The sequence below is a fragment of the Homo sapiens genome, chromosome 6 (assembly GCF_000001405.40).
Source record: "Homo sapiens chromosome 6, GRCh38.p14 Primary Assembly".
NCBI lineage: Eukaryota > Metazoa > Chordata > Mammalia > Primates > Hominidae > Homo > Homo sapiens.
This window is the reverse complement of record NC_000006.12, coordinates 159,990,889-160,012,459: the sequence shown is the minus strand read 5'-3', so window position 1 is coordinate 160,012,459 and position 21,571 is coordinate 159,990,889. Positions and strand designations below refer to the sequence as shown.

The 21,571-nt window shown below is 42.6% G+C and overlaps 1 protein-coding gene and 1 long non-coding RNA gene across 3 annotated transcripts in view, besides 3 other annotated features; one reads left to right on the top strand and one right to left on the bottom strand.

Annotated features, from left to right (window-relative positions):
* Window positions 1–21,571, bottom strand: part of IGF2R (insulin like growth factor 2 receptor) — a 142,423-nt gene that overhangs the window by 99,045 nt on the left and 21,807 nt on the right. The window contains exons 2-4 of the mRNA NM_000876.4: window positions 21,137–21,276; window positions 3,326–3,450; window positions 1,675–1,773 (exon numbers count right to left, since the gene is read on the bottom strand). Coding sequence (NP_000867.3) covers window positions 1,675–1,773; window positions 3,326–3,450; window positions 21,137–21,276 — 364 coding nt within the window. The remainder of the gene's footprint in view (window positions 1–1,674; window positions 1,774–3,325; window positions 3,451–21,136; window positions 21,277–21,571) is intronic.
* AIRN (antisense of IGF2R non-protein coding RNA) lies at window positions 4,796–9,169 on the top strand. Of its 2 annotated transcripts, NR_047511.1 has the most exons (3): window positions 4,796–5,979; window positions 7,302–7,509; window positions 9,073–9,169. It is a non-coding gene; the product is annotated as an antisense of IGF2R non-protein coding RNA (long non-coding RNA). The 2 variants fall into 2 exon arrangements; NR_047514.1 differs by having other exon boundaries at window positions 4,796–9,169.
* Window positions 12,715–13,914: an enhancer, noted in NCBI's record as "CDK7 strongly-dependent group 2 enhancer chr6:160419578-160420777 (GRCh37/hg19 assembly coordinates)". NCBI's record gives its function as "activates an origin of replication core promoter dependent on BRD2, BRD4, P300/CBP, MED14 and CDK7 cofactors, with strong dependence on CDK7, by STARR-seq in HCT116 cells {active_cell/tissue: HCT116}" and the evidence as "EXISTENCE:reporter gene assay evidence [ECO:0000049][PMID:35650434]".
* Window positions 14,614–15,499: an enhancer, noted in NCBI's record as "H3K27ac-H3K4me1 hESC enhancer chr6:160417993-160418878 (GRCh37/hg19 assembly coordinates)". NCBI's record gives its function as "activates a minimal SCP1, AML or CMV promoter by ChIP-STARR-seq in primed H9 embryonic stem cells {active_cell/tissue: H9 hESC(primed)}" and the evidence as "EXISTENCE:reporter gene assay evidence [ECO:0000049][PMID:30033119]".
* Window positions 15,500–16,386: an enhancer, noted in NCBI's record as "H3K27ac-H3K4me1 hESC enhancer chr6:160417106-160417992 (GRCh37/hg19 assembly coordinates)". NCBI's record gives its function as "activates a minimal SCP1, AML or CMV promoter by ChIP-STARR-seq in naive H9 embryonic stem cells {active_cell/tissue: H9 hESC(naive)}" and the evidence as "EXISTENCE:reporter gene assay evidence [ECO:0000049][PMID:30033119]".

Below are 21,571 nucleotides of genomic sequence, written 5' to 3'. Positions count from 1 at the left end.
TAAGTTTCCTGAGGCTTCTCCAGATGCAGATGCTGCCATTCTTCCTTTACAACCTGCGGAACTGTGAGCTAATTATACCTCTTTTCTTTATAAATTACCCAGTCTCAGGTGTTTCTTTATAGCACTGCGAGAATGAACACACTGTGCTCCCACCCTCACCCCCAAACCCCAAACAGATGTCTGCTTTGAGATGCTTTTCCCACCGCTAACAGTATGTCATCTAACAGCTTCACCTAAGTTTTTAAATGAAGCTTACATTTGACACTGTCTCCTAAATATCAGCCTTAATTCTTTCCACTTTAAACTTTTTTTTTTTCATTGAATGCTCCTTATGGCTTTCCTGGGCAGTATTTTACCACTTCCACTTCCATATGACACTGTCTTTCCCTTCATAGATGACCATATCTGAAAATATCAGTGATTTATTGTTCATAATTTAATCTGAATTAATGTTTTTAAATAAACATTTCTTTTTGTCTTATTAAACTGCATGGTATTAGGCCACTAGTAAAAATTACTGATTATGACCATTCATTAGTTCCTGAATCCTTACAACCTTTGAAAGTTCTTAAAAACAGAAAGTAGGAGAGAAAAGTGAGATAATCAATTAATTAAGATTGTTATCAAGGTGAGAACAGGAAATTCCCTTTAGGATCTGGGGTGGTGGGCATGGAGAAGCGGCAGAAGGAACACAGTCTGCTCTTCCCCAGGACCAGGGAGAATCAAGTAGCAGTGCAACATGAGGGAATCCAGGCTGGGGAAGGGGACATTCCATTAGTCAACAAGAATGACCTGCCCAAGAGATCCATTAAACACCACCACAACCACAGTTAATAACAATGTAATTTATTCTTGCGTATCACTAAGAGAGTAGATTTTAAGAGTCCTCACAAAAAAAAAAAAAAAAACGAAATATGTGAGGTAACACATATGTAATTAGCTCAATGTAGCCATTCCTCAATGTATACATATTTCAAAATATCATGTTGCACATAATACATATAGGTCAGTGTGTATGTATATAGATATATATACATACATGCACCCAAGAAGAATGTCTTGACCAAGGAATGCTGGGTTCAAATAATAAGGGGTGGACGTAATAGTAACAGTAACCTAGTAATCTAGTCTCTGAGGTGAGCTGGAAAAGAATTTAAGGGATACCTGACCTGGACTCACATTGCAGCCAGAAGTCATCCCAAGGCTGAGGAGAGGGACAGAGAGATTTAACAATGCAAACAGGTAAAGGAGACTTATCAAAAGCGGGGTACAACACAGGTGGAAAGCCAGGTGCAAAGGAAGATGAAGCAGGCAGCGTCAGAAACAGATGGCTCCTGCAGGTAGAGTGAATACTCTAAGCCCAAGCCCAAACACGTCACTTAGTTTACTGAGTTGCACAGCACCAGAAACCAAGAACTAACTTGCCCTATATGGATGAGCCATTCTATTTCCAATCTGGACCAAAAATCACATCCTGTGATATTTTAAATGCCCTGTCCTAAAAATAAGAACCACTCAGAAAAGTTTTAAAAATTAAATCACATGGTATCTCTGCTCAAATGCAATTTGGAAGCTAAAAAAGATTTTCACCCGGAAAGGTTAGAATCAGTATTTGAAAGATAAAGTTCCCCAGAGTATACTTCATAAGCATGTAATTTGAAGTTCCCATGTTACCTCCTTATTTGCTTTAAATATGTCTTTCTTGCAGGCTGCAGTGGTCCTCCACTCAAAGTAGTGCACACATTCTGTTGCAGTTACAAATTCAGGAGTTCCCTATTAAAAAAAAATAGTAATTATAATGTTACCATACCACACATTGTAAAGATTCTTCTTTAAAATGAGAATGCAGTAAAGGCTACTAAAATAAAGAAAGCAGCAGCAAGAAGGGCAGGGGATGCAACCGCTTTAGTTAAACGGGGTCATCAAGAGGTTCCCAAATCTGCAAATTCTGAGACCAAAGCTTCATAAAATCATGTTGGGATTTTGTGTAACTAATCCAAAGGAATTCTACCGCCCCAGCTGTGCAAGTACATTGAGTGAGTTCATGGGAAGAAATCCTCAGTCATTCTCCTCTCAAACTCCAAATGTTCTCTTAAGCAAATGCCAGCAAACGAAAGCCAGAAAACGTGACCTCATGCTTCCCGTGAAAAGGCTCCCATGAGGAGCCCATCTGCATCTGACCAAGTTAGTACACCCACCAGACGCCAACCCTCCAAGGCAGCCCCTCCTGTTAACCGCAACCAGAGTGGACTACAAACAGGTCAACCCCAGCATCGCAGGATGACACAAGCACAGCAGGAACTGGCCTCTTCACTCCCACGTGCAAGTCTAGGGAGTTATCCTTCACAGTTCTATTTCTGGTATGGTGAACACAGAATTCATAAAGGAAATTAGCTGAAGTTAAAACAGGAGCTATATATTTTATTCTGTAATATAAATCTCATTTAATGCTGCTGCGAACAGATTCTTTTTTGGGTCTCAATATGCACAACGATGCAATTTATATGCGGATCCAAAATTAACAATATTAGTTTTATTTTCAAAGTTCTTCAGATAAGACACTGTGGACCTGAAGATGCAATAGTCACAGTCCCAAATTCTAAAATGATATTTTAAAGCAATTTAGTAGCCACAGAGTTTCACTCAACCTGACTTTCCTAAAGATTGGGTTCTTACTGGGATTCAAGAACATTCATAGAATTTGTATACCAATTCCTTCTCCCAAGAGCTAAAACAATTATTTACTGCAAGTTCCTTTCCAAAAACTAAAGATTAAAATCAACAAATTACATACAATATGCCCATAATAAGAACAATCATAATAATTTACACAATTATGTCCCCTTTAAACACCAGGTAATATCCAAAAAACTTGAGAACCCCATACCCACGGGCCAAGGCTTCTCCTAAATAGATGTGGGTATCTCTAATTTAATATAAATGAGGAAAGAAAAATATTTTTTAAAAAACTAAATATGCTGCCCTAAAACCTATCAAAATGAAATGCTAGAAGAAGAGGTTTTAGAGAAAAAAAAAGTATGCCTATAACTTAAACATTAAACAGTGCACTGATTTTTAACACAGTAATCACTTTGAATTGTAGTTTTACAAAAGACATGGTCTATGTTTTACTTAAAAGTTGTAACAAGTTTAGAATTTGTTTACTTATTGGTTCTTGATGATGATGGTCATTTGGTAGGGTTTTTCTTATTTGTGTTTCTAAGTTTGCTCACTGATTCTTCCTGGAATACCTCTACAGCCAGAACACCAAGGGGCAGACCTTTTTTTTTTTAAAGAAATACATCAAGTGCCTGTGTGGACTCACCAGGGTTTTCCCACACAGGAAGGCAATGCTGCTCTGGACTCTGTGATTTGTGCCTTGCTGGTCACAGCTCACTGTTGTGTTGAATTCCAGGAGAGATCTGGTTGCACTTCTCAAAACAGAGTCACCTATTTGGAGAGAAAAGAGAGTGAACAGGCTATAAAACATACATAACCAAACAGCTATTTCCAAGGAAAAGCAAATTAAAAGTAGCATTATAATGTATCTGATAGCTTATAAATTTATAAAACTGTCCTTTCCCAGAATTTTCCATCTCAGAGTGGCATCCCCATTACATTACATTAAGTGCCATCTTTACCTTGTCTGCTGCATTCTATACATCAGAAAGGTCCACAGCTATACGCCCATCTCAAATCTGTCCACATTTCTCCACCTCTACTCCCGCTAAAACCACTACCTGCGCTCCAGCAATGGCCACCTAACTGCTCCCCCTGCCTCCACACTAGTCTCATCCCTCGCCAGCCCCACTTCCTCATCCATCTTGCACCAGTGTGATCTTCAAAAATACAAATCAGGATATATAACTCAGCCACTGAAATGTTTCAATACTTCCCATCACATATGCTACAAAATCAACATTCTCTAGAAAGGCCCACAAGTAGAATGACCACATCTCTGCTTGTCCAGGACATTACTGTAACAGTCCAGAATAAAAAGTCTATGTAAAAATCAACATGATGGGGGTTGGCATAGGAATAAACTGATCAAAAGACTAGAATAGAGACCAATCGACTAGAAGAGAGAGCACAGAGACACAAATGTGAATTAAACTTTGATTATGACAGAAGTAATAGGTCAGGGAAAAGAGGAGGCTGTTCAATAAACAGAACTGGAAATAAAAACGGAACTGGAAACAAAATAGTTTTCCATATGGAAAAAGACAAAATTGGATCCCTACCCAGTACTGGGTACAAAAATCAACTCTAAACACAAGCTTGTCCAACCCGTGGCCCATGGGCCACATACAGCCCAGAATGGCTTTGAATGCAGCCCAACACAAACTTGTAAACTTTCTTAAAACATTATGAGATCTTTTTTGTGATTTTTTTTAGATCATTAAGTATCATGAGTATTAGTGTATTTTAGGTGGCCAAAGATAATTATTCTTCCAATGTGGCCTAGGGAAGCCAAAAGATTGGACACCCCTGTCTAAATGGATTAAAGATGTAAACATCAAAATCCAAACTTCAAAACTTGGCAGAAATCTTAAGATAGAGAAAGATTTCTTAAGACTCAAAAAGATTAATGAGGTTGACCTATTCAATTTAAGAGTTTATACTCATCAAAAAACAGCTTAAAGAAAACGGAAGTAAGTTATAAACTAGGAAAAACACAGAACTGGCAAAGAACCAGCATCAAGAATCTCTACATACACATTCACATGCAAACAAACAAGAAAAGAATGTCTGTATAATTCCAGGAAATAAAGGACGATGAATTACCTCTGACTGAGAAAGCACACACCATGCTGGAAAGGAGAGAGAAGGAAAAACCCACTCCTAGCCACACAATGGTGGATCTTAATATCCAATGAAAAGAAAAAATTCTAATCTAGGTCACACACAATAACCCAATATAAAATGAACAAGACATGATCAAGCAAATCAAAGAAAAATGTACATCAATAAATATGTTAAGACATGTTCAATGTTACTGGTGATCAAGGAATTTCAAATCAAGACCAAAATGGTATACCATTTACAACCATCCCTCTGGCAAAAATTAAATACCAAGTGTCAGCCATGAGGTGGCTCAGAGCTCTCCTGTATTGCTAGTGAAATGTTAACTGGTTCAACAACTATGTAAGTCAGCAGGACATTATGTCCTAAAATTGAACATTCGTGTGCCCTATGACCTAGTTACTCCACTCAGGTCTATATAAAAGAGAAAACCATGCACATATGGAACATGCACAGCAGAAAATGTGAAAGAATATCTCATGCTCTTCAGAAGAGCAAAAACCTGGAAATGACCAAAGGCCCATCAACAGAAGAGTGGATAAATTAACTTCAGCAGATCCACACAAAATATCACAGCAGTCAGAAGGAATAAACCACAGTGAAAAACAACAATACGGTTGATTTTTAGTAATATTACTGTTATCACTTAAGTCCCAAAAAGTTACACATAGGAAGATAACTTAGTTGCAAACACACAGATTTTTTTTTTTTGGAAATTAGATACAGTAAAAAAAAAAAAAAATTAATACAAGATGGGAGCTAATGATTACTCCTAGCGAAAAGTGAAAGAGGAAAGAGTAAAACAGATAGTGGTTACTGCCAAGATCCTAGATTTTTGTTGGAAACAGTGCTCGCTACATTATACAAAACAACTAATTTTTTAAAAGGAAAAAGGTTAGTCTATGGATTAACACATGGCTCACTGTACGTGCCATGAGCTCGGGATGATAGCTGATCCAATCCCATATACACCTGAAGTCTTGGGGCAGGGGCGGACCACGAGTCAGCGCGCCCCCACAGCACCAGGCTGATGGCCCCGTGGTTCTTCTGCCTGCAAGCAAAAGTCAGCCACGATCATCCTTCTCCATCTGCAACACCCAGGGTCTTTTCTAAAACTTTTGCCCAGTCGGCTCAGCCAAAAGGACACAGAAGCCCTGCAGAGGCTCTGAAACCAAGGTCAGTGCCTCGTGGACAGCTCCCGCGCCTGGACAGCTCCCGCGCCTGGACAGCTCCGCGCCTGGACAGCTCCCACTGTCCCGCCCGCAGTGGGCGTGTCTGGGAGGCACTGAGCAGGGGCGGGGGTGGGCTCAGCGGTGCTGAGGTACCCGCCTAGGGAGATGCGCAGCTGGAGGCGCATGAGGGCTGGAGACGCGGAAGGCGCATGGGGCGCAGCAGGCTCACGGGGTATGCAGGGTACAGGGAGGCGCGAAGGGGGGAGGCGCGAGGGGGGAGGCGCGTGGGGCGCAGCAGGCGCACAGGGCATGCAGGGTACAGGGAGGCGCGAGGGGGGAGGCGCGTGGGGCACAGCAGGCACACGGGGCATGCAGGGTACAGGGAGGCGTGAGGGGTGAGGCGCATGGGGCACGGAGGATGCCGGGTGGTACAGGGGATAGGCAGAGAGGCACAGGGGTGGGGAGGTATGGGGCGCGGAGGGGCATGAGGAGGCGAGGGGCGCGGCGAGGCGGCGGGCAGAAGGCACCGGGAGCCCCATGAGGCGCAAAAGGTGCGGGGAGGCACGGCGGCCGAGGAGGCGCTGAGGACCGGGGAGGCGCAAGAGGCCCAGGATGCGCGGGGTCCTGGGGAAGCGCGAGAGGCCTAGGAGTCGTGGGGGACATGGGGAGGTGCAGGGGACCCAGGGAGGCTCGAGGGGCCAAGGAGGCGCGGAAGGCTGCAGTTGGGGAGGGGAGAGAATGGGGCGGGTGGGGGATGGGGGGCGGCCGCTGCAGGAAAAGGGATGCGGTGTTTCCTGGCAAGTTCAGAAGCCAAGCCCCCAACCTCGTAACCTGTTCACACATAGGGTGACCCCTCTGTGTCAAGAGCCCCTACGGGTCCCTCATAATGTGCGGGTCACGTCCTGAAAAGGAGGCAGAAAAAGGCCCTGGAAGCGGGAAGGGAGTGACCCAGCCGCACGGCCACGCTGGCGGCCACTGCATCCCTCGCCGGTAGAGCCGGGCGGGGCGCACACCCACTCCTCGCCGGCTTCCTCGCAGCCCAGTGGCCAAGGGCGACACCGGCGAGAGGCCGCAGAGAACCGCGGCCTCCCAGACAAGGGCCAGGCAGGGACTGCGGGCTGCCGCCACCACGCCAGGCCCCCAGTCAGCTCCCAAGACCTGTCCCCAACATGCCAGGCCTCGGCCTCCCAGCACTGCAGACCCCAAGCTCCAGGTTCACGCGGCTGCCCGCCGGAACCCCTAAGACTCGCCGGCAGAGCCTCCTTAGAACCACATTAGACCAAGCTGTATCATCTTTTATGTACAAAGCTGTTCGTTGTTTTTCAGCTGCCATGGCTCCCAGTTCGACATCATGTCACCGGAGCCTGCACAGATGAACCAAGCTTGCAACACGGGAGGAACCTAAGCGCTGGACTGAGGAGCGGGACTGAAATAAGAAGCGCACACCACATGGCAAGATCCAGGATCCAATCAGATAGAGCCCTGGTGTCATCTAATTGCAAGATCCAATCAGAACACACCTCATTACCTTATGGTAATAAGCTTATGCTTATAAAACCCGACCCAGCCGCCAGCTTGGGGAGACAGGTTTGACCTTTCCTCCTGTCTCGTCGCAGTGCAGTCCACTCTCTCCAGCAAAAACCCTGCGCTTTGGTGTTTGGCTTTCCCTGGTGCACAGGCAGGCGGGTCCACTTTGGTTTGGTGACACTCTAGGCCATGCTCACACACTCACCAGGCCTACCAGGACACATTCACCAGGCCCTCCAAACCATGCTCACAGGAACCACCAGGCTGCACACAAGGGCCCTCCACACACCACACTTGGCCACACCCCCGGGGCCGCACCTTGAGGTTCTCCAGAATCCGCAGGGACCTCGGTGCCAGCCAGGCCACACCACCCAGCACTCCAAGCTACACTCACTAGACCCACCCGGAAAAACAGGCCACACCTCTGAGTGCTCCAGATAGCGCTTGCCAGACCCCTCCAGACCACACTGGCCAGGCTGCACCTCGGAGCCCTCTAGGCCACGCTCTCAAGGGTACCACCATGCCAGGCTGCACCAGGCCCTCACGTGCTGCTCAGTCAGGCCACCAAGTCGCATTCTGCAGGCCCACCAGGTCGCACCTCCAAGCCCAAGCAAGCCCATGGTGATTTGGCCTCCTTGAAGCCACAAAGCCTGGTGATCCTGACTTCACAGGCAGCCCTCCTGCCTACCGCAGCGGCCACAGCAATTATATTATTGCCATGGCAATTAGAACCTACAAGGCAAACAGAGAACCCTTCCTGTCCTACTTCCCGATGTGCTCAAGCAAGTCTTCCTCTCTCCCCTGCACCACCCACTTAGCGTTTCCTTCAACATATACTATTCACGCTATTTTGCCAAATTAAAAAAAAAAATACTCATCCAATTTTTTAACCTCCAGCTTCTCTATTTATATGGATACTCTTTTTAAAAGATTTTTATTTTCTTGCTACCACCAACACACTCCTTGGCTACCCTTCTTGTCCCCTGAACTGGCTGTTCCCCCAGAGAGACACACAGCTCACTCCCTCAACTCAAGGTCTTTACTTACGTGTCACATTCTCAGTGACACTTACCCTATTTAATATCCTCACACACACACCCGAGCCCCCAGTACTCCTGATTACCCTTCCTTTCCTTTTCTGTAGCAGTCATCACAGTTTAACATACTACTTAGCCATTGCTTTTTTCATCTGTCTCCCACCCTACTAAAATGTAAGCTCCATGAAAAAAAGAGATTCTTGCCTGTTGTAGTGACTGATTCAATTCCAGTACCTAAACCGGTGCCTACATATGACTGATAGTCAAATAGTTATTATAAATAAACATTAACTGTTGGCTATGTTTTAATATAATGTACACATATAATTTTAGATGATTTAACCAAGTAAATAAGAAGAAAATACACTATAAATTATTGAACCATACCCACACAGTAGATTGTTCCAGCATATTTGCCACAATAAACAATGCTACCAAAAACCTTTTGTACAAATATCTACATATAGTACTACTTCTTCTATCCGTTTGAGTCACAAAAGATTATGTGAATATACGTTTTAAAATGTTAACAGGTATTGCCAGACTATCAGGAGAGACCATAAATCAGATAAAAACATGAGTTGTATCCAAAACTCAACCAGGTATCATCTTAAATATCCAACAGAATTCTAGGTTTTAAGAAAATAAAAGACTTAAGAGGAAAAGGCATTTTCACATCTTATGAGTCAAAGAGATGAAAGATACAATCCAATGATCAATCCAGTGCCTGCTGTAGATTTCTGTGAGTGCATACAAGAATCAGACACTATCAAATCACTGGAAGTCAGGGGCCAGGCTCTTTAAAGTAAATGAATCACCTGGGACGGCAACTACAGTCGGACTCACTGTGTCCTACCAGGTCACCAACAAGAAGCCAAACAGAATTCCAGGCTCCAGAGGTAACCTCAATTAACACTGTTCCTTAGTGAGTACATTACCTCAAGTTAAATGGGCTGGTAACAGGCTTCCTGAAATGGATATAGAGCTGTAATCCTCAGAAGATTAATTAAAATCATAATATTAATATTTGATGTGTTAGAAAAAAATGTGAATGTATTTGGTATTTTTACTGCAATGTTTAATATAACTCCAATCCAAAGTTTATAACTCAGCAATTAATTCAGACTTACGACACAGTATTAGAACATTTAAGAGAATTTTAGAATTAGAAATTTTAGAATTTTAGCATAACTAGTAAATATATAAGAATTATTAAATAATAATACTCATAAATTTATAATTATTGTTACACTGAAATTTTAACTGTTAAGCCAGACATCTGAGGTACTTGAAAAGGAAATCAAATGCAGTTGAACTGCAAAGGTCTGAACTTCCCAGGTCCACTTATACACAGATTTTCTTTCACCTCGGTAACCCCAGAACAACAAGACCAGTCCCTCCTCTTCCTCCTCCTACTCAGCCTACGCAACATGAAGACAATAAGGACGAAGATCTTTATATGATGATCCACTGCCGCTCAATGAATAATAAACATAATTTTCTCTTCCTTATCATTTGTTTTTTCCTGAGACAAGCTCTCACTACTCTCTTACCTAGGCAGGAGTACAGTGGCCTGATTACAGCTCATTGAGGCCTCCACCTCCTGGGCTCAAGCAATCCTCCTGCCTCAGCCTCCCAAGTAGTTGGGACTACAGGCATGCACCACCATGCCTGGCTAATTTTTTTATTTTTTGCAGAGATGGGGTTCCACTATGTTGTCCAAGCTGGTCTCAAACTTCTGGGCTCAAGTGATCCTCCCACCTCAGCCTCCCAAAGTGCTGTGATTACAGGTGTGAGCCACCACACCCGGCCTGATTTTCTTAATATTTTCTTTCCTTTAGCTTACTTTATTGTAAGAATATAGTACTTAATACATATAACATGCAAAATATGTGTTGATCGACTATTTATGTTTCTGGTAAAGCTTCCCATCAACAGCAGGCTATTAGCAGCTAAGGTTAGAGGGAGTGAAATGTTAAATGTGGATTTTCAACTGTGCAGGGGGTTGGTGCCCCTAACTCTAGCGTTGTTCAAGGGTCAAATGCATATAAAATGTATAAACCACTTTAAAATGTGAAAATAATTAGGTTGCAAATGGGACCAAATATTGTTCACAGGCCCTATGAAAATGATGGCTAACATTTGCTAAGATTCACATATGTAATATTGTTTGCCTAAGGAAAAACTAATGTATGATTTTTTTAATTTCTTCTGAGCTCCTTGGATGTGTGGATAATGTATGATTCCTCAATTTAAAATAATGTAATATTGTTTAAACCAGCATTGAGGTCTTAATATTTGTTTCTCACTATAAAAAATTTTAGGGCAGCAGCCCCCAACCTTGTTGGCACCAGAGACTGGTTTCATGAAAGACAGTTTTTCCATGGACTTGGACTGGGGGTGGGATGGTTTCGGGATGATTCAAGCATATTACATTTATTGTACCCTTTATTTCTATTATTATTACATTGTAATATGTAATTGAAATAATTATACAACACACCACAGTGCAGAATCAGTGGAAGCCCCGAGCTTGTTTTCATGCAACTAGATGGTCCCATCTGGGGGTGATGGGAGACACTGACAAATCATCAGGCACTAGATTCTCATAAGGGGTCACAACCTAGATCCCTTGCATGTGCAGTTCACAATAGGGTTCGCGCTCCTATAAGCATCTACTGCTGCCACTTATCTAACAGGATGCAGAGCTCAGGCAGTAGTGCAAGCAATGGGGAGCGGCTGTAAATACAGACGAAGCTTCACTCTGTCACCCACCACTCACCTCCTGCTGTGCAGCCCAGCTCCTAACAGGCTACAAACCGCTACCAGTCTGTGGCCCGGGGGTTGAGGACCCCTGCTTCAGGGCACTTTAAAACTCATACCAGGCCAGGCGTGGTGGCTCACACCTGTAATCCCAGCACTTTGGGGGGCCAAGGCGGGTGGATCACTTGAGGTCAGGAGTTCAAGACCAGCCTGGCCAACATGGTGAAACCCCATCTCTACTAAAAATACAAAAAAAAAATTAGCCGGACATGGTGGTGCCCGTAATCCAAGCTACTCAGGAGGCTGAAGCAGGAGAATCGCTTAAACCCAGGGGGCGGAGGATGCAGTGAGCCAAGATGGCGCCACTGCACTCCGGCCTGGGCAACAGAGCAAGATTCTGTCTCAAAAAAAAAAAAAAAAAAAAAAAAACAACCTCACACCAACTATTATCTTCCCAAAAGGATTTAGAGACAACCGTCTTCCTACAGCAACGTATAAATAAATGTGCCCATTTCCAGGCTCCTTGCCAGCACTCTATGATTCAACCATTTAAATTTCTGCCAACTTCTCAAAGAAAAATGAGATCTCATAATTGCTCTGATTTGCATTTATACCTGGTGATGCGGCTTAGCTCTGTCTCGCCACCCAAATCTCATGATGAATTGTGATCCCGAGTGTTGGAGGTGGGGCCTGGTGGGAGGTAACTGGATCACGGGGCTGGTTTCCAATGGTGTAGCACCATCCCCAAGTGCTGTCTCGTGATAAGAGTTCTCACTAGATGTGCTTGTTTGAAAGTGTGTAGCACCGCCCCACTCCTCTCCTGTCACCATGTGAAGAAGCTGCCTGCTTCCCCTTCACCTGCTGCCATGATTTTAAGTTTCCTGAGGCCTCCCCAGCCATGCTTCCTACACAGCCTTCAGAACTGTGAATCCAACCTCTCTCCTTCATAAATTACCAAGTATCAGGTAGTTCTTTACAGCAATGTGAGAAAGGACTAATCCACCTGGCTTATTAGTGAAGTTGTATTGAGCATCTGGATTTCTTCTTTTGTGAATTACCTGTTCTTTGACTTTGCCATTTTTCTCCTGGGTGTCTGTCTTTCTTACCAATTTTTAAGAAAAGCTCTCATCCTAATAGTACATTGGCAAACATGCTGGAAATGTTTTTCCCAGTCTAGTGTATGTCTTTTGTCTTTAGAACACCTTTTAGTCATTAAAAGGTATGTAATAAGAAATGTTCCTCTTCTCCTGTATGGCTTCCAGGATTCCTTAAGGAAGGCTCTTCTAGATTATATCTATATGTTACTAATTTTTTTTCCAATGTTCTATTGTCTTTTTACTTTCAAATCTTAACTGAGCTGTAATTTCAGTATGTGATCTAAAGGAGGGATTGAACTTTGTTTCGTAAGAGACAATAGCTACTTACACCCAATTTTTTGGTTGTAAGTTATCTTAAGTTCCCATACATATTTGGATCTATTTCTATGCTAGCTCTTCTGTTCCTCTGATCTGCGGGGAGCTCCAGTTCTTGTGGTTGTTTTGAAGGTTCACATTTTTTCCTTTCTAACAAGATCAAAAGAAGTTCGTTCTCAGATGTCCTCTCAGAGCCACACATTCAGATCTCCCATCCTGGTCTCCATTTCAGCTCCAATCTGTCTGATGTGACCCCATGACTCACACAAAAGCACAGCCCTGAGTGAGTACACAGGCTCTGGAGCCGGCTGTCCACATTCAAATCCATAACCACACCACCTCCAGCAAGGTGCTCATTGTGGAGGCTAAAGTAACGCCATTCTGGAGGCCAAACAGCCCTGCTGACTTCCGATTAACCCCAGTTCCAGGAAGGCCTCCAAGATTTCCAGTTTATCTACTGTTCCTTGTGTAAGAGCAGGTAATTATCACGAATCCTCCCCTTAGGTCAAAAAACCTACTTCAATTGTCCTACACATTCCTTCTGAACCACCCCTTCCCTATGGTGTATGATCCCTGGGTCTGGAGTGGGTGATGGCAGAGGGATCCATCCCATCTCGTGACTTCTTGAGATGTGGCTTCTATTCATAAGTCCGTATTAAATGTTTCTTTCTGAGAAACTGGGTGTCAGCCTCCTTCTTCAGCCTCTCAACTTCCTTGGACTTCGGGGGCAGATTTGCACAGACCTGCCCACTGTAGAACACAGATCCATTTTGCGCTTCCATTTCTTCATTTATAACATGAGGGAAATGAAATCACCTACTTTAAAGGGTTGTTGAATGAATTAAATGAGATATTTTACTTTTAAACATTAGGCCTAGCACATGAATGTGCAACAAAATTTAGGTATTTTTATTGTATATGCAAATTAGATTTGATTCGGGATTATCCCTATGCTACTGTGAATGTCACTCTCATTGACTCATACAAACTGCTCTCTCCAGTTGAAGAAAGGGAGCCGTTACTGAGAGTCCTGAAAGTATATATGATGACTCCCTCTGGAAGTTTCAAGCTCTGGGAAAGGGATCTGTCACACATATCTGGGGGAAAAAATGAGATTGGAAACTGCTGGTTTATAATAGTATCATCATCATCTTAACCTGTAAGTTACTTTTTAGTCATCTAGTTATCTTTGGTATCTCCCCTGTAGGCATCGTTTCCTATTCCACGGGGCCAGCTTCCTAAAAACACCTTCCATCACATCACCTCCCCGTTACCATCACAAAAGATCTGTAATGGATCCACTCCCTACAAAAAAATAACAACTCTTCTCCTCCCTGGCTTTCAAGGTCCACAGAACTTGGTCAAACTCAAACTTTGTCCAGTGAGGCCAAGCTCACAAATTATCCTTCAAGTAAGTTGCCTCCATCTGGCATCAGTCTATGTGGTATTACACTATACCATACCATACTATACTACCATAAACTCAAGACATACTTTCATTAGCCAAAAATATTGAAGTATTATAATAAAATCAAGAAGAAAGCTACTTTTCCTTCTTTCTGAACACCTACATAACACTGGCCAACAGAATTACTTGTGGCCTTTCTCTGTGAGTTCTCAAAAGAGCACAATGAGTAAACTGGCCATCTCACCTGTAAGTTTCCTAAGTATATCACCAAGGATAATGTCAGACCCAAGAATTCACAACAATCTAGTGCTTTCTCAGATCTCAATCCCAGGCCTCAAATCCCTCTCACCAGGTTTTTCAGTCTGGATGGTCTCTTTGTAGAGAGAGAGGGAAATCAAACAGGAGCTGGGCCTCAATCAGCAGACCTCGCACTCCCTTATCTTCGTACTCTAAACACTGCTTTCTACAAAGCTCTTTTAACTGTGTTTAGCAATTTCCATGCAAAATGACAAGTGGGGGTTTCTTTTGTTTCAAGACAGCTGAACAGAGTTGCCAGAGGCCGGTTCTCAGAAGAACCCAAGTTACAGGTGAGCAACCGTCGCCAGAATGGAGTATCAAGTGGAGAGCACTGGAGCCTGGTGGAGAACCCCTGGGATGAAACGAGGGCAAAAAATAAAAAGCAGGAAACGAGAGGGGCAGAGAGCGGCTAGGAGCCCTGAGGGACTTGGTATTCCTTTGAAAGGGGTGGCGGGAATGCTGTTGCTGCCCCTCACCTCTGTGGTCGACTGCTGGTACCCGAACTGTGGGAGAGCTTTTCTGCCCTCACAAACCCAAACACTGGTGCGGGCAGCAATTTGGGGACTTCCTGAGGGCATTACATCAGACTACCACTTATGCCAGGTTGCTCACCCTCCACTGGACCTGGGTGGCAGTGGCGGCAGCAGTGGGAGGACTGCCTGGGGAAGCTCAGCACTGATGTCTCCGTATCACCAGAGGCCCTGCAGACCTTTCTTGGCACCTGCTGAGACTGCAGCAGCCACACAGGGCTGGCTGGACCCAGGGGAGCTGCAGGGTTCCCAGAGATCTACCCTCAGGGAGTGCTGCTCCTAAGGGAAGAAAGAGTACAGCATGCCAAGGGGGCACTCCTTGGGACAAAGGAGCATGCACTTTCCTGTGCCCAGGAGCATGGCTTGTGGCCTGTGCCACATGCAGTGGAGACAGGGGTGCTGTACTCAGCCCTGCAAGGGAGGAGTATGCTTCCAGCCCAGGAGCCAGGTGGTCTCAGTGCTTGGGCACGGATGTGGGTAGTAGGACTTCTCCTCCCCCACCCTCTACCCACTGCTGTGGGCACAGTCATGGCTGCTCCCACAGGTTGGCACAGGCACACAGGACAGTGGCCATTCTGTGGCTGTTAGGGGAAGCTGCATTTCCACTGGCAGTGGACTTGCACGACTTCCACTGAGCCAGGACTTGCACGAAAGGTGGGGCCTCACCCTCTCTACACGGACCCACAGCATTCCTGCGGCAAAGAGCAGGAGAGCTACAAATGTGTGTGCTTTGGGTTGAGGGAGGAGGCTCACTACAGAAGACACATTGGTGGTAAGCCATGGACAGGTGTCTCTCGTAGCACTCACTACACTGCAGCCTGAGACAGACAGCGATATTCTCATGTTCTGAATATTCCCAGCGCCAGGACGGGGTGTGACAGGGAGGCAGATTGTGCTCCCACCTGCCCAGGCCATGGAGCTGGAGCAACCCCCACACCTCCCCGCAGACACCTTGGCACCTTCTACACAGCTACCCCTGCTACCCCTGTTAGGGCTGGTGCTTGAGCCACTGGAGTATCCAAGAGAAGAACTGGCAGTTCAGTTCTGTCCAGCTTTGTCCCCCACTCAGGGGCTGAGCAGGTAGCTCAGGCCACTGTGCATTCCACAGACCACTCCACTGCCTGAAGCAACAGAGCTTCCCCCATTAAACAAAGGTCAAGCACAGAGACTCATAGACCCACCCATCGGATTCCACTGCAGCTGGTTTTTACCCATAAATACCACCTGCTGGCCTGCACAACCCAATATAAATTCTGCTGCCAAAGTGCAAAGCAAGGGAGAACAAAATAACTTCCTGAGAACTCTGCCTTCCAGGCCCCGCGGGAGACGGTGAGGATCCTGCTCACACACCCAAGCACATCATTACTATCACTAGCATTTGAGAAAGCTACCACAAAAAGGCCAACTATAACCAAGAAACTCAGAGTCTCTGTCACTGAAAGTACCCAGAACTGAAGTCAAACAACTATATACAACATACGTTATATTCACATTCTCAAGGGAAAAAAAAAAATCCTGCCAAAGTAAATTCAAAAATAAAGAAGAGATAGTTTATCCAGATGAGAATGAAACAGAGTAACAACTCTAGAAGTATTAAAAAAAAAAAAAAAAAAAAGAGCGCTGCAACATCCCCAAAGACTCACACTAACTCTCCAGCAGTGGACCCTAAAGAAAATGAAATCCTTGAAATACCAGCTAAGGAATTCAAAATATTGATTTTAAAGAAGCGCAATAAGATCCAAGAGAAAGTCAAAAAACCAACACAAAGAAATCGGAAAAATATAGGATCTAAATTAAAATTTTACTAGAGAAAGCTATTTTTTAGAAAACCAGACAGAAATTCCAGAAATGAAAAATTCATTGTAGGAATTACAAAATACAGTTGAAAGCTTGAACAGCAGACTAGACCAGCAGAAAAGAGAATCTAATAGCTTAAAGACAGGTTTGAATTAACCCAGTCAGACAAAAGGTATAAAACTCACATCTTATAAAATAATTATACAATTGACACTAAAAAGCAACTAGTTAACAATTAACACTATGACAGGAACAAAACCTCACATATCAATATTAACTCTGAACATAAATGAATTAAATCCTTTACATAAAAGATATAGATTGGTGAACTAGATTTAAAAAAAAAAATGATCCAACCATATGTTGCTTACAGAAAACCACCTAACTGGTAAAAACAAAGACTCAAGGTAAATAGGTAGGAAAAGATATTCCATGCAAATAGAAACCAAAAGTGAGCGGGAGAAGCAACATTTAGATAAAAGAGACTTTTAAGTCAATAATAGTTAAAAAAGAAAAAAAAAAGACCATTAAATAATGATAACGGGATCAATTCAACAAGATATAACCATCCTAAATACAAATGCACCCCACACCAAAGCACTCAGATTCATAAAATCATTACCACTAGACCTAAGAGGAGATAGACAGCAATGTAATAATAATGAGAGACTTCAACACCTCACTACAAGCACTAGAAAGATCATCAACACAGAAAATCAACAATAAAACACTGAACTTAAATTGGACTCAGGATTAAATGGACCTAAAAGACATTTAAAGATCATTCTACCCAACAACCACAGGACATACATTCCTCTTAGCACATGGAACAGTCTCCAGGGTAGACCATATGTTAGGCCACAGAACAGTCTCAGTACATTTTTAAAAACTGAAATCATATCAACTATCTTTCCAGATCACAGCGGAATAAAACTAGAAATCAATTCCAAGAGGAGAACTCTCAAAACTACACAAATACATGAACATTAAACAACCTGCTCCTGAATAACCTTTGGGTCAATGACAAAGTTAGGATGAAATGTAAAAATTTTTTGAAATGAATATAAATAGAGACACAATGGACCAAAACCTCTGGGATACAGCAAAGCAGCGGTAAGAGGGAAGTTTATAGCACTAAATGCCTACATCAAAAATAAAGATCACAAATTAATGACCTAATGTAACCCTCATGGCACTAGAAAAAAAAAAGAACAAACCAAATTGAAACCTAACAGAAGAAATAACAAAAATCAGAGCAGAACTAAACGAAATTGAGACCCCCCCCAAAAAATGCAAAGGATCAACAAAACAAAGTTGGTTCTTTGAAAAGATGAACATAATCAATGGACTACTACTCAAATTAACCAAAAAAAGAAGAGACACAATTCAAATAAGCACAATCAGAAATGAAAAAGTAGACATTGATACTATGGAAAGACAAAAGATCATCAGAGGCTACTATAAACATCTCTACACTCAAAAACTAGAAAACCTAGAGGAAATGGATACATTCCTGGAAACATACAACCTCCCAAGATTGAATCGGAAGAAACAGAAATCCTGAAAAGACCAGTAAAAAGGAGTGAGATTGAATCAGTACTTTAAAAATCTCCCAAGAAAAAGCACAGGACCAGACAGATTGAGAGCCAAATTCTACCAAAGGTACAAAGAACTGGTACCAATCCCACTGAGACTACTCCCTGAAAAAAAAAAAAAAAAAAAAAAAAATCAAGTTGGAGGGAATCCTCCCTAACTTGTTCTATGAAGCCAGTAACACCCTAACACCAAAGCAAGGCAAGGACACAACAAAAAAGGAAAACTATAGGCCAATATCCCTAATGAACACAGATGCAAAAATCATGGCCTAGAAGAATTAGTATTGTTAACATGACCATAATGCCCAAAGCAATCTGCAGATTCAGTGCAATTCTTATCAAAGTACCAATGTCATTTTTCACAGAATTAGAAAAACAATCCTAAAATTCATATGGAACCATATGAGTAGCCAAAGCCTGAATAGCAAAAGCAATCCTAAACAAAAAGAACAAAGCTGGAGGCATCATGTTACCTGACTTCAAATTATACCTGAAGGCTATAGTAATCAAACAGCATGGTACTGATATAAAAATAGGCACACAGATCAATGGAACAGAATAGAGAACCCAGAGTCAGGGCCACATACTTAAAACCAACTGATCTTTGACAAAGTTGACAAAAACATAACACTGGCGAAGGGACACCCTATTCAATAAACGGTGCTGGGAAAACTGGACAGCCACATGCAGAAGAATGAAACTAGAACCCTATCTCTCACCATATACAAAAGTTGGAGACTTAAATGTAAGATCTGAAACTATGAATATTCTAGAACAAAACCCAGGAAACACTCTCCTGGACATTGGCCTAGACAAAGATTTCATAACTAAAACCTCAAAAGCAAATGCAACAAAACAAAAATAGCCAAGTAAGATTTAATTAAACTAAAAAGCTTCTGCACAGCAGAGTAAACAGAAAACCTACAGAATGGGTGAAAATATTTGCAAACTGTGCATCTGACAAAGGACTAACATCCAGAATCTACAAGGAACTCAAACAATTCAAAAAGAAAAAAAGAACCCCTTTAAAAAGAGGGCAAAGGACATGAACAGACATTTCTCTAAAGACATACAAATGGCCAACAAGCATATGTAAAAATGTTCCACATCCCTAATCATCAGAGAAAGGCAAATTAAAACCATGAGACACCATCTTATACCCACTGGAATGGCAATTATTAAAAAGTCAAAAAGCAAAAGATGTTGGCAAGAACGTAGAAAAACGGGAATGCTTACATACACTGGTGGGAATGTAAATTAGGATGTCCTCTATGGAAAACAGTATAGAGATCTATCAAGGAACTAAAAATAGAACTACCATTCCATCCAGCAATCCCACTACTGAATATATACTTGAAGGAAAAAAATCATCAGAAAGACACCTGCACTCATATGTTTATCACAGCACTATCCATAATTGCAAAGATATGGAATAAACCTAAGTGTCCATCAATGGATGACTGGATAACAAAAAATGTGGTGTGTGTTTGTGTGTGTGTGTGTGTGTGTGTGTGTGTGTGATTTCATTCTTTTCTATGGACAAATTCCACATGTTGGCCATAAAAAAGAATGAAATCACATGTTTTGCAGCAACATGAATTGAACAATAGCACATTATCCTAAGTAAAATAACTCAGAAAGAGAACACCAAATACCACATGTTCTCACTTATAAGTAGAAACTAAATAATAGGTACACATGGACACGGACAGTGGAATAACAGACACTGGAGACTCAGAAAGGTTGGGGGGTGAGGAATTAGAAATTATCTACTGGGTATAATGTACACTATTCGGGTGACGGGTATTAAAAACCCAGATTTACAACTATGCAATATATCCATGTAACAAACTGCACTTGAACTGCCAAATCTATAAAAATATTAAAATGTTTAAAACACAAAAGAAAATGACAGAGCTACCACAGTAAGCTTCTCTCCCAAATCCAAAAGCCCACCTAGCATCTTCTTCTAGTTATCAGACAGTCCCTAGTCATATACCATCTCTATGTCACGAGCATCCATTGTGGTCAAACCTCATTATTCTAACTGCCTTAGTGAAAGGTCACCACGGACATCCATGTTGCCAAATCCAAGGGCAATGCATTCTGCTTTTCTGTCTGCCCTGCCTCCCTTCCTTCAGGCATCTGCCCTGACTCCACTCTATGTAACCTGGTGCTGATATATTAATCCACTTGGATTCATATTCTTCACAGAAGGATAGCGATCCTGACCCAAAAGGCATACATTTGGGGAATGAAACGAACCCTAGGAAAGAAGGGGCTGCACCTCTTTCTCTGAGACTGCCAATCCTCAGGACTATTTATTTAACCTTTAATGTAAGCCTAACTCCAGTGACCATCTTTGACAGCAGAAACACTGTCTGGGAACTACAGCCAAAGCTGGAAGGTACAAAGGAATGGGAGTCGGGGGAGCACTAAAAGGAAATGTGGGCTGGGGGAGAATGTAAAAACAGGGTTTAAGAAAAGTGTGGGTGAGAAGGGAGAGCCATCTAGGAGACAGCTTTCAATATCAAATACACATCTACATAATTCTTCATAACAGCTGTCTGTATAGTATCCACTAGACAGAACCAACCTAGTTTTAGCTCATACTAGACATTCAAACCGTTAGCATTTTTAACTACTAACAAATGTGTATTATGTATTATAAACACTTATGATTTCTAAACATTCAAAATTTTTGTATCGCTATATACGTATAGCTATACACAGTCATTTTTGCAAAATTGGGGAATCATATTGCCAATCCAGTAATTTCAGGTAGTTCTACTTACCCACTGAATGATAAGTGCGTGTCTTCAAGTCGTGCATACAAACAGCACTTGATGGCCCGCACTGGACAATATCCACACTTCCACAGATGTTGATTTTATAAAGTACATTATTTTTGGTATCAACAGCTTCCCATGTATAACTGGAAAGGAAGAAAAACAACTTGTCAATGTCACTGATTTATCAAAAATTAAACTTCTCTCTAGTTTTATTCAAGCCACATTTGCTTAAAACTGCCACAAACTAGAAAATACACTTTCCTTAGCCAAAAACACTAAAAAGTCAAGTATGTTAAGTTGCAAAGAAGCCAGGGCAGAAACTACTAACACCATCTGTCTGTGGTTCAATCCATTCTGAAGCTACCTCAGGACTCAAAGATTATCAAAATAGAAGTATCTGGCTGGGCATGGTGGCTCACGTCTGTAATCCCAGCACTT